This window comes from Homo sapiens, chromosome 2 (genome assembly GCF_000001405.40).
Source record: "Homo sapiens chromosome 2, GRCh38.p14 Primary Assembly".
Lineage (NCBI taxonomy): Eukaryota > Metazoa > Chordata > Mammalia > Primates > Hominidae > Homo > Homo sapiens.
This window is the reverse complement of record NC_000002.12, coordinates 241940213-241955779: the sequence shown is the minus strand read 5'-3', so window position 1 is coordinate 241955779 and position 15567 is coordinate 241940213. Positions and strand designations below refer to the sequence as shown.

The window sequence follows — 15567 nt, the reverse complement described above, 5'->3', positions numbered from 1 at the left end:
GACCTGTCTCAGTTACTTTAGAAAGTTTATTTTGCCAAGGTTGAGGACACGTACCCATGGGGAGGAGAAAAATGATCCTAAGGGGTAGATGTAAAGAAGTACTGTAAATAACAGGCCAATAGCGTGTCCAATCAATCGGACACCAAGACACTTGATGTCTCCTTTCCGCAAAAACCCTCACCCCAGGCGAACAAAGGGATGGCCACTCTAAGCTTCCTGCAGCGTCAAAAAGATTTCCACCCCCTCCTATCCCTAGAAAGAGGACATGTCGATCCCATTCTTCCCTGGAAAGGGGAGGATCAAGAGGAGGTGGATGCCTGTCCTGCAGCAGGGCAGCCTCCTCCTGTGCATGACCACATCTCACACTCACACCTCTCTCCTCCACACCCCCATGTCTCTCCCCGTTGAACACCCATGTCTCCCTCCCTTGAGCACCTGCCTCTCTGTCCTGCTTGTTCCAGTACTGGGGAGACAGGGAGCCACCAGGCTCTGGATTGGGAGCCCTGGGAAGCCACCCCGAGGGGCAAGACAAGCTTGGGTGAGCCTCAGTGCAACAGAAAGTGCAGTTCACTCTCACCAGGCTCCATCCTCCACCGAGAATGATCAGGCCTCAATCCATTCCTCAGAAGAGGAAACGGTGAGCACTTTATGCTTAAAGACAACATGGCTTGGAACCACCAGGGCACTGCTGTTATGATAATTCACCAGCTTCAGCATTCGGTACACATGACCAGAGTGTGTCAAGAATAAAGACCATGTGACTGATAACAAAGAGGGAAAGAAAGAGCAGAAAGGGACCCACGGATGATCCAAAATGGTGTTGCCAGAGAAGGACCTTAAAGACAGCTGTGATGAATGAGCTCAGTCACAAGAGATGGGAAAATGAGGGATTCCGACAAAGAAATGGAAACGTTAAAATAATAACACAGACGTTCTTGAATTGAAAAGTATGATATCTGAAATTAAGAATGAAATTGGTGGGTTTAATAAAAATTGAACACAGCAGAAGATAGAATTTGTAAACATAAATGCAAGTCATTATAAACTACCTCAACAGAAGTAATAGAAAATACTCAAATGAAAGGAATGGGAAAAAATAAATAGAAAATCCAGAAAGGAAAAAAATAACAGATGAGACATAGTCAATAGGTCTGAGATATGCATAATCCCAGAGAGAGATCAGAGTTAATGGGACAGACGAAATATTTGAAACGATAATGGGTGGGAATCTTTGAAAACTGTTGGAAGACCTTAATCCACAGATTCATGAAGATCAGCAAATCCCAAGGGGGATACATGTAAATCCCACCTTGGAGCACCCTACTAAGAGTAATGAGAGCCAAATACAAAGAGAAAAATCCACAAGCATAGGGGAATTGTCACGTGCCTTTCTCGGTAACTGGGATAACATAAAATTAGTCAGGATAAGGAAGACCTGAGCAACATAATCAACTAGAGCGGCCCAATTGTTCTGCCTCAGACCTTGTATCCAAAATGGCTTGCTTCCTCTTCTTCTTAAGTGTACACATAACATTCACCAAAATTTCCATATGTTGGGACATAGGGAAAGCCTCAAATAATTTCAAAGGATCTAAATTTAAAATTCAGAGCATATTTTCTGACCTCAGTAAACTTAGAAGTGAAAAAAAATACTAAAAAATGCTAAACTTCCTGGAAATTAAAGAATATGCTTCTAAATAATCCAGTGGCCAAAAGAAATCATAGCAGAATTTGGATATGTGTTGAATAAATGGTGATGAAGAAAAGACACATCAAAACTGCAGGATGCAGCTAAGCCAAGAGAAAATTATATTCACTGGAGCCTGCAGGGCAGCCACCCCGGCACAGGAGAGAGAGGACAGCGACGGGCCAGCGGAGACCTCAGGACAGCCCCGGCCTGGGCACATCTGGCTCCTCCCCCCGGCCTGGGCACCTCCGGCTCCTCCCCACAGCCTGGGCACCTCCGGCTCCTCCCTGGGGCCTGGGTACATCTGCTCCAGGCCTTTGCAGACACGGCGGCCGAGCACCCCCGGCCGGGCTGTGCAGCTGAGCACTTGGTCCTCTGCTCTGGGGGACAGTAGCGTGGCTTTTCCCACAGCTGGGGTCCCTGCAGCATCACGGGGCCACAAGTCGGGGTGACCTGCCTGCTGCGGGCTCCCTGGGTCAGACGCCCTCGAGCCTGGGTCCTCCAGCTTCCACTCCCCACAGCCTCTGGCCACAGATTCGGTTGGAGTCGCTGCTGAGGCCACAACAGAGGGCTGCGGCCGAGCGTCCACCAAGACAGGGGTCCGGCCTCCTGCCCCACCTGGCCCTGAGCGGAACCACTGCAACCCCTTCTCACCCTCCAGGAGCAGCCGCGTGCGGGGAAACAGCATCCCGTGTGAGGTGGAACCGGGAGAGGAACCTCCCCCCGCACCTTCGGGTGGACCCGGAATTGCACTCATTTATGTGGCCATTTGGAAGATGCCCCCGTGCGCTGAGCCCCCCGTCCCCTCGGTTCCTCCCTTCTCCCTCTCCTCCCCCCTCCCCTTCCCCTCCCTCTCCCCCCTTCTCCCTCGCCTGCCCCCCGCACCCACCTTGCTCTTCCCCCACCCCTTTCCCCTGAGCCTCACTCCCGACTGAGCCGGCAGCCCTGAGCCTGTATCTCAGGCGCTGCTTCCCGGAGAACCAGCTAAACACTCTTCACTCTCCGTCTGAGGGGCTGCTGTAACCACCACCACAGAGGGGGCGCACACAGACCTCCATTGCTCACAATCTGGCGGCTGTGGGTCTGAGGTCGGGCCGGCCGGGACGGGTTCTTGCTAGGGCGGCTTCCTGGCCAGGGCGGTGGAGAGCGAGCTCTGGTCTCCTCCTCTTCCTAGGATGGCACGAATCCCCTCATGTGGCCCCACCCTCATGACCCCATCTAACCCAAATCACCTCCCAAAGGCCCACCTCCAGATGTCATCACAGTGAGGCTTGGGCTTCCACAAAGGGCACGGTCCCGTCCCCGCTAAACATACACGCAAGAGCTTAAGGTTCTCAAAGTCATATCGTGGAAAACATTAGATTTCCTTAAACGTTAATATGCATCTTATTTGTATTTAAAAAGGTTTAACAGACAACCCTGTCTCAAAATGATGCCAGGCAAGCCGAGAGAGATCATCACCCATTCTTGTAATCCAAAGCTTAAAAAAGTCCTTTCCTGGCTGGACGCAGTGGCTCACGCCTGTAATCCCAGCACTTTGGGAGGCTGAGGCAGGCAGATCACCTGAGGTCAGGAGTTGGAAGCCAACCTGACCAACATGGTGAAACCCTGTCTCTACTAAAAATACAAAAATTAGCTGGGCATCGTGGCATCTGCCTGTAATCCCAGCTACCACAGAGACTGAGACAGGAGAATCACCCACACCCAGGGGGCGGAGGTTGCAGTGAGCCGAGATCTCACCATTGCACCCCCACCTGGACAACAAGAGTGAAACTCCATCTCAAGAAAAAAAGTCCTTTCCTTCTCTGGATGTGCAAGGAGCAGGAAACTGACCACAGACAGCCAGAGCCATTTCCAGGTCCTTCCGCTGAAGCGCTCCTGAGCACTCCCTACCTTCCCTGCCCAGCACCCTTCCCTCCCGAGTCCCACCTCGATTCTCTTCCGGAGACACGCAGCCTGGGCTCCGTGGGCTGCCCCACCCTGCCCTCCAAGATGGTCCCGTGACCCAGGCCTGGCCGATGAGAGCACCCAATGCCCCACTGCAGTGATGGGCTCAGAGGTGGGCACAAGGCCCCAGCCAGTGCCAGCGTCTCAATCAGAGGCTCCTGTTTGAACTGCTGGGAAGAGGAAATCTCAGAGTAGACTTGAGGCTGCAAAGAAATGACCGTGGCTGCCAGGAGCTGGCAGGAGGAGAAATCTGGGGGACTCATTTCAGAGGAAGGCATGGGTAAGAGATAGAGACCACTGAAGCCCCTAGATCCACCCATTCCTGAATGCCCCTTTGCAGTTAGTAATTGCATACATCAACAACCCCTGCCCCTTCAATGACATTCTTTTTCTGGCTTTTATCAGCTTGAATTGAGTTCCTGATGACTGCAAACAAAAGAGTCCCACTCAAGTAGTTGTTGGTGCCGTTTTTGAGTTTAGGGCACTTCTGACTTTGAAGTTAAACAGTTAAACACTTGAAAGGAATGCAGTCGGTATGGAGGTTTTTGTTTTTACTTATTTGTTGCTGTTATTTTACACAAAACAGGAGTTTCAAACATCTGGAGGCTTTTAAGGATGGGGATAATTTCTCACAGCAGCCTTAAATGCTTTGAGGTGAAGCCTCCTGTTTCTCACTGAACTTATCTTCTCAAACATCTGGGCGGCTTTAAGCATTGCATTTAAGCAAACACTCTAAACTTGTGAAGCAGGAGAAGAAAATAGGAGGCTCAATGCCCCATGGGGTTTACAGTGCAGGGGTAACTTCTGGGGGTGAAAGGAGGGACAATGCGGCCAAGAGCTAGTGGGGCCCAGCTGCTCCTCACCCCATCACCTGCAACAAACCTCGAGGCTGCCACGCGACCAGGCGAGGCCCCGCCCTGCAGCACACGGCCCTAACCCCACTCGGGGCTCCACATTCTGCCTGGAGAAAGGTCGCGGGGGCTTGCGGACGGCAGCTGCATTCCCACAGGGAATACCCCAATGGCATCGCCATTCCATCTCAGCCCCAGCAGCTCCAACCAGCACGGGCCCCGCCTGCTGACCCCCAATGCCCCTTAGCCTTTCGCCAGCCTGGGAATTTTCAAGGCTCCACGATTTCATCGCAAACAGCAAGCGCTCCACCTAGTGGACAGAAGCCGGAGCTGCCTCCCGAGACGGTGAGGACCAGCTGCAGGGTTCATCCAGCCGGGGCTGGAGCCTTCGCTTCTTTCTCCGGCGAGTCCCACTCCCTTCACTGACAAGAGGAGGCAGCGGCATCAGGAAGACGTCACCGTGGTTCTTCAAACCCAAGAGTCAAACCTGTCCACAGGGTCGATGGTTACACAATTCTCTCGTTTCCGTAAACTGCCCCTACGCCAAGGTTTATTTACTCTAAAGAGGTGTGGGGTCCTGGCAGCAGGGGCCCAAGGAGGCGTGGATTCCGCCAGGACGAGGGGTGTGACGGCCTCACCTGCGTCTCACGCTGGCTTTGCAACCACAGGTTTGTGAAAATAAATGAAACGCATTATTCACTGTGCCCATTCGGCTCCAAACAGCAGGTCACTGTTGTGCAAGAATGACCCAGAGGATGGCAGGGGAGATGGCGAGGCAGGTCACACACGTCCTAAACAATGGAGCCTTACCCACCCCAAACACACGCACACACAGACACGGGAAAACACAGGCATATATGCAGACACACACGTGTGTTCACACACAACCATGAAACACAGAAAGACACTTGTACGCACAGACAAGCCCTGAGACAGCATGCGCACACAGACACGTGTGCACACACACATGCACACCTGTGCTCACACATGGACCCATGCACACCTGTGCTCACACACGGACCCATGCACACAGACACACGCATGCACACCTGTGCTCGCACACGGACCCATGCACACAGACACACACATGCACACCTGTGCTCATGCACGGACCCATGCACACAGAAACAGAGAAACACACCCACACAGCCGCATGTGTGCACATATTCATGCACACACACACAGGGACACGCTTCCCTCACACAGACTCCCCCTTTAGGCCCACCCTCCCAGCCTCCAGCACAGGCCAGGTGGAGCACCTGTGGTCAGGAAAGATGGAGACAGGGGAAGCACAGCCCTTTTCAGGGAGGACAGGAGGACCGAGGATCATGGCCTCTCTTAAGGAGGATTCCGGGGGATAGGAGGAGCACGGCTCCTTCCAGGAAGGATGGGGGTTGGGGCGAGCGTGGCTCCTCTAAGGGCATGGGAGATGGGGGGAGCCTGGCTCCTCTCGGGGGGACAGGCTGTGGGGGAGCAGGCACCTCCCAGGACAAGGGGTGCTGTGGTCCCCGCAGCTTCGTGCTGGCACTGGTGGCTGGCTCACACAGCCTTTCTGGAACTTTAGTCCTCCCTCAGAGCAATTTGGGAACTGGAGTTAGGGCCAGCGAGGATGAGGGGGCACATAAGAGATGAGAGGACCTCACCCAAAGCACACCCCAAGCCAGGGCTCCTGCCTCCCCTGGCTCCCTCTGCCTCCGTCCCCCTTGTGAGGTGGGGTCCCCGGTGCTGCTCTCCCCACGGCCCCCTGACCGCGGCTGTACAGGTTTCTTCTCACACCAGTAAGTCCTCAACTCCCACCCGGCCCAGGGAGGGCTCACCCACTCTCCACAGGCATTGAGCCCACAAGACGCCCCCACTTCCAACGCCCACGGTACATGGAGCACCCCTGGCCCCCGGCTTCCAGATTCAGCAGAACAGCTCCCAGGACGTGGAGGCGCCTCACTGTCACCCGCCTGGGAGAGGCACACGCCAGGCAAAAGAGAGGTTGGGGGGCCTCCGGGAACCACCATGGTCACTGCCATGCAGGCCCCTGGACCCTCATTTGGGGTTTTTTATGGGGTTCCAGACATGACCGATTAGGCCACAGGCCTCTGGGGACTGACCCCATCCGGGCCTCTCCCTCTCGGGTGGGGTGGGGTTGGGTGCGCCGGGCTGACCCGCACCGGTTCTACTGGCAACCAGCCCACCCTCCGGGAGCCGCCCCCTTAGCATCGAAGAGTGAGAAGATCCAGAGTGGGAGCTCCGTGCCCACAAGCTGGACAGAGACTGCGTCTCCTTCTGTGATGCTGCAGCAAAGGGGTCCGGAGAGGCCACCGCGTCCCTGCCCACCAGGGCTTCTCCAGCCTCCTCCAGCCAGGGATCAACCCCCACATGCAACCTTTCTCCTCTGCCCTGTGCCCCGCAGCCCTGCTCACCCACCTCACACACACGTACAGTCACACAGACATACAATGACACACCATCACACAAAATCACACATCCACCCCATCACACACAATCACACACAGACACACACCATCACACCCATGCAGTCACTCACACACCATCACGCACACACAATCACACACCATCACACCAGACACACCATCACACATACACACATAGACACATACACGTGCAGCCACACAGACACGGTCACACATCACACACACAGACACAATCACATGTGCAGACACCATCACACACACAGAATCACACACAGACACATGCACAATCAAACATACCATCACACACCAAGACACACACATCATTATGCACAGACACATGATCACACACGGACACAATCACACACACACACAGAGACACACATGATTACACATCACACACAGACACAATCACACACAGAGACACACATGATTACACATCACACACAGACACACACAGAGACACACACGATTACACATTATCACACACAGACCCACACATCACACAGACACAATCACACATGATCACACGTAGACACACAATCACATATAGACACAGACATACACACCACACAGACACACACATGAACACACACAGACACGTCGCCGAAGCACTGCTCAAGTCCCATTCGGGGCTGGAGCCCTCGACCCTCTCACAGGAGGCCGACGTGGCCGCCAGGCTCTGCTTCCCCGTGCACAGCTCACCGACCGCAGGTGAGGGCGCTGGCTGAGCAGACCCGGCCTCCCATGCAGGGGGAGAAAGAGGCTCCTGGGGCGCCCTCCACCACCCAGGTGTGGACAGAAGACCAGGCTCAGCAGGAGACTCTGCAAGAACCAGATGAGAACCCTCATCTGACTCGGAGCCAGGGTCCAGGAGGCTGCAGACAGTCCAGGAGTCACTCCCCACGCAGTCCAGAGAGAGTGGGGAGCAAAGCTGGCCTCATCCACAGCAGGGCAAGCCCCGGAAGCCGCCCTCGGGGGTTGGCCATGAGGTGGAGGCTGTCGCTGGAGGGCAGGTTGAGGAAATTCCCCCTCACAGTGACAGGGTGGCTTAGGAAAAGCTCAGAAAGCTGCCCCGTAGCCACTGCCAGGAAGTGCTTTCCGATGTCTAACCTAAGTCCTTCGTGCTACGGTTTTCAAATTTTATCCTCAAATAGTAACAAGCCACGTGCCTCAAATACCAAAGCCTATGAAGACAGCACGTGACCTCCTCCCCTGCCCCAGCCCCATTCCCCGGCCTCGCCCCTCCCAGCCTCCCGGAACCACTGCTCATGATTCCTTTCTCCGTTCCAGGACGGTAAGCCCAGGTCTGGGCAGGCCCACGGGCAGATGGCCCTGCACGGGGAGCCTCACCCCAGGCCACAGATAAACAGAATGCTTCCCATCGCCTCCGCGTCACACACACGTGCAAACAGTAAACGGAAACACCGTGTGAAATTCTGAAACCTCTACCCGTGGACGCTGCATCTGGGCGGCGACGTGAATGGACGGCAGGTGGGGGCGTGGGTTTTTCACTGAGGTGGGGGGTGGGGCTGCAGGGGCAAAGGGCGGGGCCAGAACGATCCATGGGGCGACCGACGGATCGGAGCTGGAGACACTGGAAGTACCTGTAGTGTCAGAAAGCGAGGAGATGCACAAACACACACCACAACGACGGGGCTCGCCGCGAGGACACGGGGCTCGTGAAAAGCGCTCCCGAGGCCAACGCTGGAACCATTTGAACGGGAAAACAGAGCAGCGCTGGGCGGTAACCCGAGGTGTAACGGAAGCATCCGCAAGTCCACAGGGACAGAAAGAAGCTCTGGACAGATTTACCGCCGGGCGAGGAGAGCCCAGCACGTGATCCAGCTCGGGCTCAGGGATGGTCCTGTCGGTGCACGAGAAAACCCAAACCCCAAGAGGGGCGTTCCGCGGAGTTCCTAACAGAGCCCTTCAAAACCCTCAAGGTCGTCAGAAACAAGGAAAGCCTGAGAAACGTCCAGCCAAGGGCAGCCCCAGGGGTCGGGTGACTAAACGCCACATGTAGTCCCAGAGGCGGGGCTGGCACAGAAAGACGGAGAAAACCAAGAAAGCGGAATGAAATATTGTCCTGTCGATGATGACGGATCAGTGATCAGTGTGGGCTGGTCAGTTACGACACAGGCACCAGTACGGGGACGTGGGCGTGGGGTCCACGGGACTCTGCCTTCTTCTCCGTCATCCTGTAAATATAAAACTCCACTAAAATTGTTTGGAAGTTTGTTGAAATAGGGAAGCTTAAAGAACAGCTAAGTCCGGGGTTCAGGGACACGGGGGTTTAGACGCTCTGGGGTTTAGGCACTGGGGTTTGTGCACCCTGGGGTTTAGGGACATGGGGGTCTGGGCGCACGGGGGTCTGGGCGCACCGCACTCGGTGCTCCCTTCCGGGGGCTGCCCTTCTGCTTCCCACACACGCTTCCATTTTCCTTTTGTCTTTTTGTCTGTCCCGCGGGTTTGTCCTTTCCCATCTCCTTAGAAAGCCTTAAACTCCCTTAGTACTGTGGGTGAGTTTTGATTTTGCATAATAAAGGTACATTGTGAGACACTGTTTTTGTTGTTGTTGTTATTTAAAAAAAAAAAGTGAAGTTAGCTGCCTATCTCAGCAAAGCCCATGTGGAGTGGGTAACGGGTGAGCTACAGACCCCGTGCGTCCTGACATTAAAGGCGTCTCGGGACAGCCCAGCTCACTGGCATGAACTTCCCTCCACGGCCATGGCCACACACTCAAGCACACTCACATGCACACACACGCACACACACCCACAGGCACACTCACACGCACACACACACAAACACATGCACACTTACATGCACGCACACACAATGCACACTCACACACATGCACACTCACGCACACACACCCACAGGCACACTCACACGCACACACAAAGCGCACACACACATGCACACTTACATGCACACACACACAATGCACACTCACACACACACATGCACAGACACGCACACCCACACGCACACGCACACACACGCGTGCATGCTCATTTCACCCACACTTCCTAGTTCAGATCACACTCATCCCCTCACAGTCAGTGAGGTCTGTAAAACGGGTCAGGGGTGACCATGGTCCACGGGTGCTGCAAACTGCTGAGACAATATTTTCCTGAAAAAGATCATCTGAAGCCATTTTGGCCACAGTGTCCCCGCACCTGTGCAAATCCCATCAGGCCTCGTGGTGCATCTGAGAGCTGTTGTGCCTGGTCCCTACGTAGGGACCATCGGAAAGCCACAGACGCCCACTGGTGCCACGGCAACCCCTGGGTGGCGCTGGAAACTTGGTTCCACCTGGACACACTCCCGCCCTGCACCCTCTGCCCCAAGCCCCACCTGCCCGGCCCACTCCCACCGCGGGCTCCGGCTGGGGCTTGGCTTGGGTTTGTCAGGCGGCACCCAGAAGGCCTGTGCCAGTCCATTTTCACATTGCTATGAAAGAACACCCCAGGCTGGGTGAAGTGTAAAGAAAGGAGGTTTAACTGGTCACCGTGCTGCAGACTATGCAGGAAACCTGACGCCAGCAGTGGCTCCTGGTGAGGCCTCAGGAAGCTTCCTCTGGTGGTGGAAGGTGAAGGGAGCCTGCGCGTCACAGGGCGAGAGCGGGAGCAAGCAGGGGCAGGTAGCAGGCTCTTTAAACCACCACATTGCGCATGAGCTCCCATGGCAAGGACGGTGCCAAGCTATTCATGAGGGATCTGCTCCATGGCCCACCTCCACATTGGAGGCCATGTTTCCACAGGAGACTTGGAGAGGACACATCAAACCGTACCAGGAGGGTGGGGGCAGAGCTGCGGGTGGCGACTGCCTCCAGGCAGGTGGGGTGATGCCCATCGGGGCGGCCTTGGTCCTTCCCTGGCCATGGTTAACCTATTTCCTGCCAGGACCGGGCAGATTACCAAGTGGGAACGGAAGATGCTGAGTCTAATGGCTCCTTTCCCCGTGGCTGCGGTACAGTCTCTGCTGGCCACTCAGGGCTGACAGTCTCTGCCAGGTGCTCCAGGGCCATTGATGAACGCTGGATATTCCCCCAAGAACACAACAAAACTATCTTGTCTACACAGCTTGCCTTGGCTCACTTTCGAAACAATGTTCGGACTTTCTACGCAAATTCCCATCAATCAGTTATATGATGAACACCACCAGCTGCAGGCCTCTATCCACGGCTCCCCATGAAGTTATCCCTTATAAATAACATTGTGATTCCATGATAAAATAAAATCATGTTTTTGTAGAAAAATAGCTATTCTATAAATAAAAATATAAATAAGAATAAGCTGTTCTCAAGGCAAACATCGTATGGATTTTTCTGTTCCACACGTCCTGGAAAATGCACTCCACGTGGGGTAGGGACAAAGCCTAGACTGTGAGACTGTGTGCAATGGCCTCTTCGAAGGCCCCTCATTACCTGTGTCCCTCGCCCACCCTGCAGTCTCCACGGAGCTCCCGGGAGCCATCTCACCCATGCCACCTGTCAGTACGACCTGGGCATGGCTTGGCATCAACTCCCCTGCCTATTTCAGTAGAACGCCATCTGCTCTGCACCTCAGAATGTATGTCCTGCTTTTGATAAACTCATTGGAATCTACATATCCCCTGATATGCAAGCACAGTTTACACAACGGCATCTAAATGGAGAAACTGGGTTTCGTCCACACTTCTCCACAGCCTTCCGCCCTCTGGGAAGCGACCTCGGGGTGGCAGCAACTCCCGACCGCCTGCAGGACCAAGTCAGGCCCCAGCTGCAGGATGCAAAGACCCAGTGCCAAACACACACCCTGGGTGCACCCTGAGCCACCCCTCCTCACTCGCCATGTGCAGAATGTTGTCAAGTATTCTCAGTGATAAAAATGCTGTCTACAGAATAAATACTATCTACAGTCCCAGAATCTCCCAGTCTGAGGGTTTCTCGGAGGGCATGTGGCTTGAATATTCCCACGGAGTCCCCGCTTCCATATTCTGCTCTGGGATTCTGGAACTGAGATCTGCAAACCTTTCCCAGATCACCACCAGCAGGGAAGTTCCAGAAGGTTCTGCCAAACAGCAGCACTGGCAGAGACCTGGAAGGTGGGAGAGAGGAAAGCCACCCTCCATTCCAGCACCCGACCGGCTCCAGCTTCTGCCAGGTCTCATGTCACCGCTGGAGCCTGGCCTTGGGGCTCAAGACCTCCGAGTCACACTCCCCTGCCCTCTGGGCCTGCGTGCCTACCGGGGAGTGCTCTCCTCTGAGCTCTGCCACGCTGGGAGCCCAATCCCCCTCTTAACTCCTGGGCCTCAGGGCAGCTGCTGCCTCTCTCCGGTTCTGATATCAGGGCTGCCCGTTGCCCTGGGATAAATGCCCCCCAAAACGCCCACACTCCAGTCCCCACAACCTGTGAGCAAACGCTGTCCCATGGCAAAATGGGCTTTACAGATGCAAATAAGGTTACTGACCTTAAAACAGGGGGAGTATCTGGGACTATCCAGCAGGCAGAGGGCAATGACATGAACCCTGGAATGCAGGGAAGCTTCTCCAAGCAGACACGGAAGAGAGTCTGCAGAAAGGGACTGCAGAGGGTTTGAAGCGATAGAAGGTCTCAAGCCACTCCTGATGATTTGAAGACGTCGGGTGGGGAAGGGGACATGATGGGGAGTGCAGACGGCCTCACGGGGCTGAGAGGCTGAGAGTGGCGAGGAAGGGGGACCCCTGTCCTGCACTACAAGGACTGGACTCTGCACACTCCCTGGATGGCCCTGGAAGCAGGTTCCCTTCTCAGAGACCCCAGATAAAGCCCAGCCCAGTCAACGCCTCGATTTTGTCCTTGTGAGACCCTTAGCAGGGGACCCAGTGCAGCCCCTGACTCCTGGCCCACAGAGCCGTGGGCGATGAATGTGAGCTGCTGTGGCTGAGTAAGAGTCACTGGTTACGGCACCCACAGGAACCTGATGCATTACACAGAGGACCCAGAGCAGTAATGCGGTGCCCCAACAGCACACACAGCAGGGACGACAGCCAGACAGCCACGACCCGCCACCGCTGCTAATAGTTTATCCCATCCACTCACAGTGCCAATGCAATTAAAGGAAAATTAAGATGTCCAGCTTTCCAAAATAACAAGAAATTAAGCCAGAGCTAGCACACAGAAATACATTCTTTAACAAATAAAATAATCCAGCGGCCCAACAGCACAAGGCCTGAAATGCCACTGTAAATTTTAGGAATTCCTGAAGCCGGAACCACAGCTGCAAGCACTCCTCTGAGGCCTGATCGGGCCATTGCCTGTGGTGCCATGTCTGGGTTTACGTATGGTAAAGATTTCCAGGAGGACTTATGGGCCCGTTGTGAAGGCACTTCTGCTGAATCAAGATTTCCACTGGACTTTTCACACAGCGCCTAGGCAAAGGAGTGTTTGCAATCCACCCACTGCAGGCAGCATGAGGACACAGGGGTCCAGACATGAGACAGAACCATGATGCTGGTCCCTGCCCAGGCAGCCATGGTGCAATTCCGTTCTCCATCAGGGGTCCCATGGACTGAGACAGACTCTCTCCTCTTTGTCCCTCTTACTCTACATGGCTCTTCCTGACCTTTCAGACGCCTGAGCCACGAAGCCCTTCTCTCCCTCCAAAGTGACTTCTCTTGTTCTACCCCCTCCCCGCCGCACCCACCTCCTCCCACTCCCCTGGTGTAACCACGTCACATCCCACCGGAGCAACTGGAACATGCCTTGTGCGGGGCTCCCCACACCCCAGCCTCCACGTCCTGCAAACACAGCCCCGCCGGCTGTCAGCCACGCTTCCAAAGCCAGGCCAGTCCCTGACGTTGTGACAGGCCGCCATCCTGTGCAGCTGGTCTGCTCCTGGCCCAATGGACTGACACCCTCCCTGACAACCCAGAAAACAAGGAACCCCAACCTCAAACAACAGATGACAGCCTGGAGGTAGCAGGGAGTGAGCAGAGCAGGCAGACGTGGAAGCTGCAGGCTCAGGGGAGGGGCCAGGCACCATGCCCATGACAGCCCATCCCACCACCCCACCCCTAAGCCCGGCCAGGCCCAGGCAGCTCTCACGTGCACAAAGTGTAGGAGGGAACTTGGAACGTTGGAGGAAGTGGGGTGTCCCTCAAGGGATGTGGTCTTAATGATCATTCTGCACCAGTGGTAAAATTGCCTCTACCTTGGGCTCCATGTGACCATTCAGAAATGCAAGTGGCTGCACTTTCACTCCAATTCCTACAAAAATGCTCAAATCCACTGCAGCCAAGGCACTTCTCTAAAACAGGCCGAAAAACCGCTGGAGCCCAGCAAGGAATCATGGGCTAAGAAACCTGGAGCCAGTTGAACCAATGTGAAGTCTTATAAAATACCAAGTGATACCAAGCAGCAGACATCTCACACAATGGGCTCTGCATAAAACCTCGTTCCACCTCCAGCTGTACTTTGTTTTGTTGCAGTATGGATAGGGTCATCCTAATTTTGTCCTTGCTTTGCATGCATAAAATAGGTGTGGGCACCGCAATAATACAGCGGATATAATAGGTCCAGAGCAAGGAACCGGCGACCATAACTCATGACCCCTGAGTCTCCCGTCTCGCCACATCTTTGAATCTCCTTTGAATTATCCCAGCAGTGTTTTGTAGCTTTCAGTGCATGGGTCTTGCACGTATTTATTCAATGCTTTCCCTACATATTTTATATTGCTTGAAGCCATTGTAAGTGATATCCAGCTGTTCAGTGCTGGTGTAGAAAAATTTGTTCAGAGAAATTTGGGTTTTGAATATTGACATTCTGTTTTGCAGTCCTGAAGTCAACTCAATAATTAGTAATTTAGTATCAGAACTAATGTTCTAATAACTTTAAAATTTCCCTTAAACTTGAAACTTAAAATTTCCATAAACTTGATCATGGCACCTACAGAAGAAAGTGGTTCCTCTTCTTTTCCAACATGGATGCCTGAGTTATTTTCTTGCCTTGCTGCCCATGGGACTCTCCAGTGCAACCTAAGTCTAATGTAACTCAACTCAGAGGTCCTGGCCTTGTCCCAGGCATGGGGAAGCACATCTGGAGGTTGAGGCTGTGGATGATGAAAGCTGCAGGTTTTCCATGAACGCCCTTTACCAAGTTGAGGAACGTGCCTTCTTTTTCTGTTTGCTGTGTGCTTTGTTTCCTCTTGTTTCACGAGTGGCTGCTGGACTGTATCAAATGCTTGTATTGTGTATATTGAAGTAATCATACTGTGTCTTGTTGGAATACTTTCCCTCATTCTTTTTAATACTGTGAATTACATGGATTGAGTTTCAGATGTGAAACCAACCCTGCATTCCTGAGATGATCTGCATTAAGTCAGGGTGGACTGCCCTCTGCTGGATTGGAGGTGCTAATGTTTTGCTATGGACTTCGCATCTACGTTCATAGACTCCCTGGTGTTTCGTTTTCTTTTCTGTGCGATGGCTTTAGTTTTTGTACCAGGATGCCGAAGCAAAGAGGGAAAACTTCCACCTTCACCCTCGGAAAGTTCACAGAAAATACACTGACAAAAGGTGGATTAATAGGAGGAAAAGCATAGAAATTTATCTTAACATTAACAGCATGGGAGAATCACAGGAGAATAATTACCCAATAACCCAGTGAGGTCCACATCCTTCTTCACAGGG

General features: G+C 53.8%; 1 long non-coding RNA gene across 1 annotated transcript in view, besides 3 other annotated features; it reads right to left on the bottom strand.

Moving 5' to 3' along the window:
- The window catches only part of LINC01237 (long intergenic non-protein coding RNA 1237), a 197360-nt gene that overhangs the window by 122943 nt on the left and 58850 nt on the right, over positions 1 to 15567 (bottom strand). The gene's annotated exons all lie outside the window — the stretch shown is intronic.
- Positions 4472 to 5119: an enhancer, noted in NCBI's record as "H3K27ac-H3K4me1 hESC enhancer chr2:242892812-242893459 (GRCh37/hg19 assembly coordinates)". NCBI's record gives its function as "activates a minimal SCP1, AML or CMV promoter by ChIP-STARR-seq in primed H9 embryonic stem cells {active_cell/tissue: H9 hESC(primed)}" and the evidence as "EXISTENCE:reporter gene assay evidence [ECO:0000049][PMID:30033119]".
- Positions 5120 to 5768: an enhancer, noted in NCBI's record as "H3K4me1 hESC enhancer chr2:242892163-242892811 (GRCh37/hg19 assembly coordinates)". NCBI's record gives its function as "activates a minimal SCP1, AML or CMV promoter by ChIP-STARR-seq in primed H9 embryonic stem cells {active_cell/tissue: H9 hESC(primed)}" and the evidence as "EXISTENCE:reporter gene assay evidence [ECO:0000049][PMID:30033119]".
- Positions 13281 to 13780: an enhancer, noted in NCBI's record as "H3K4me1 hESC enhancer chr2:242884151-242884650 (GRCh37/hg19 assembly coordinates)". NCBI's record gives its function as "activates a minimal SCP1, AML or CMV promoter by ChIP-STARR-seq in naive H9 embryonic stem cells {active_cell/tissue: H9 hESC(naive)}" and the evidence as "EXISTENCE:reporter gene assay evidence [ECO:0000049][PMID:30033119]".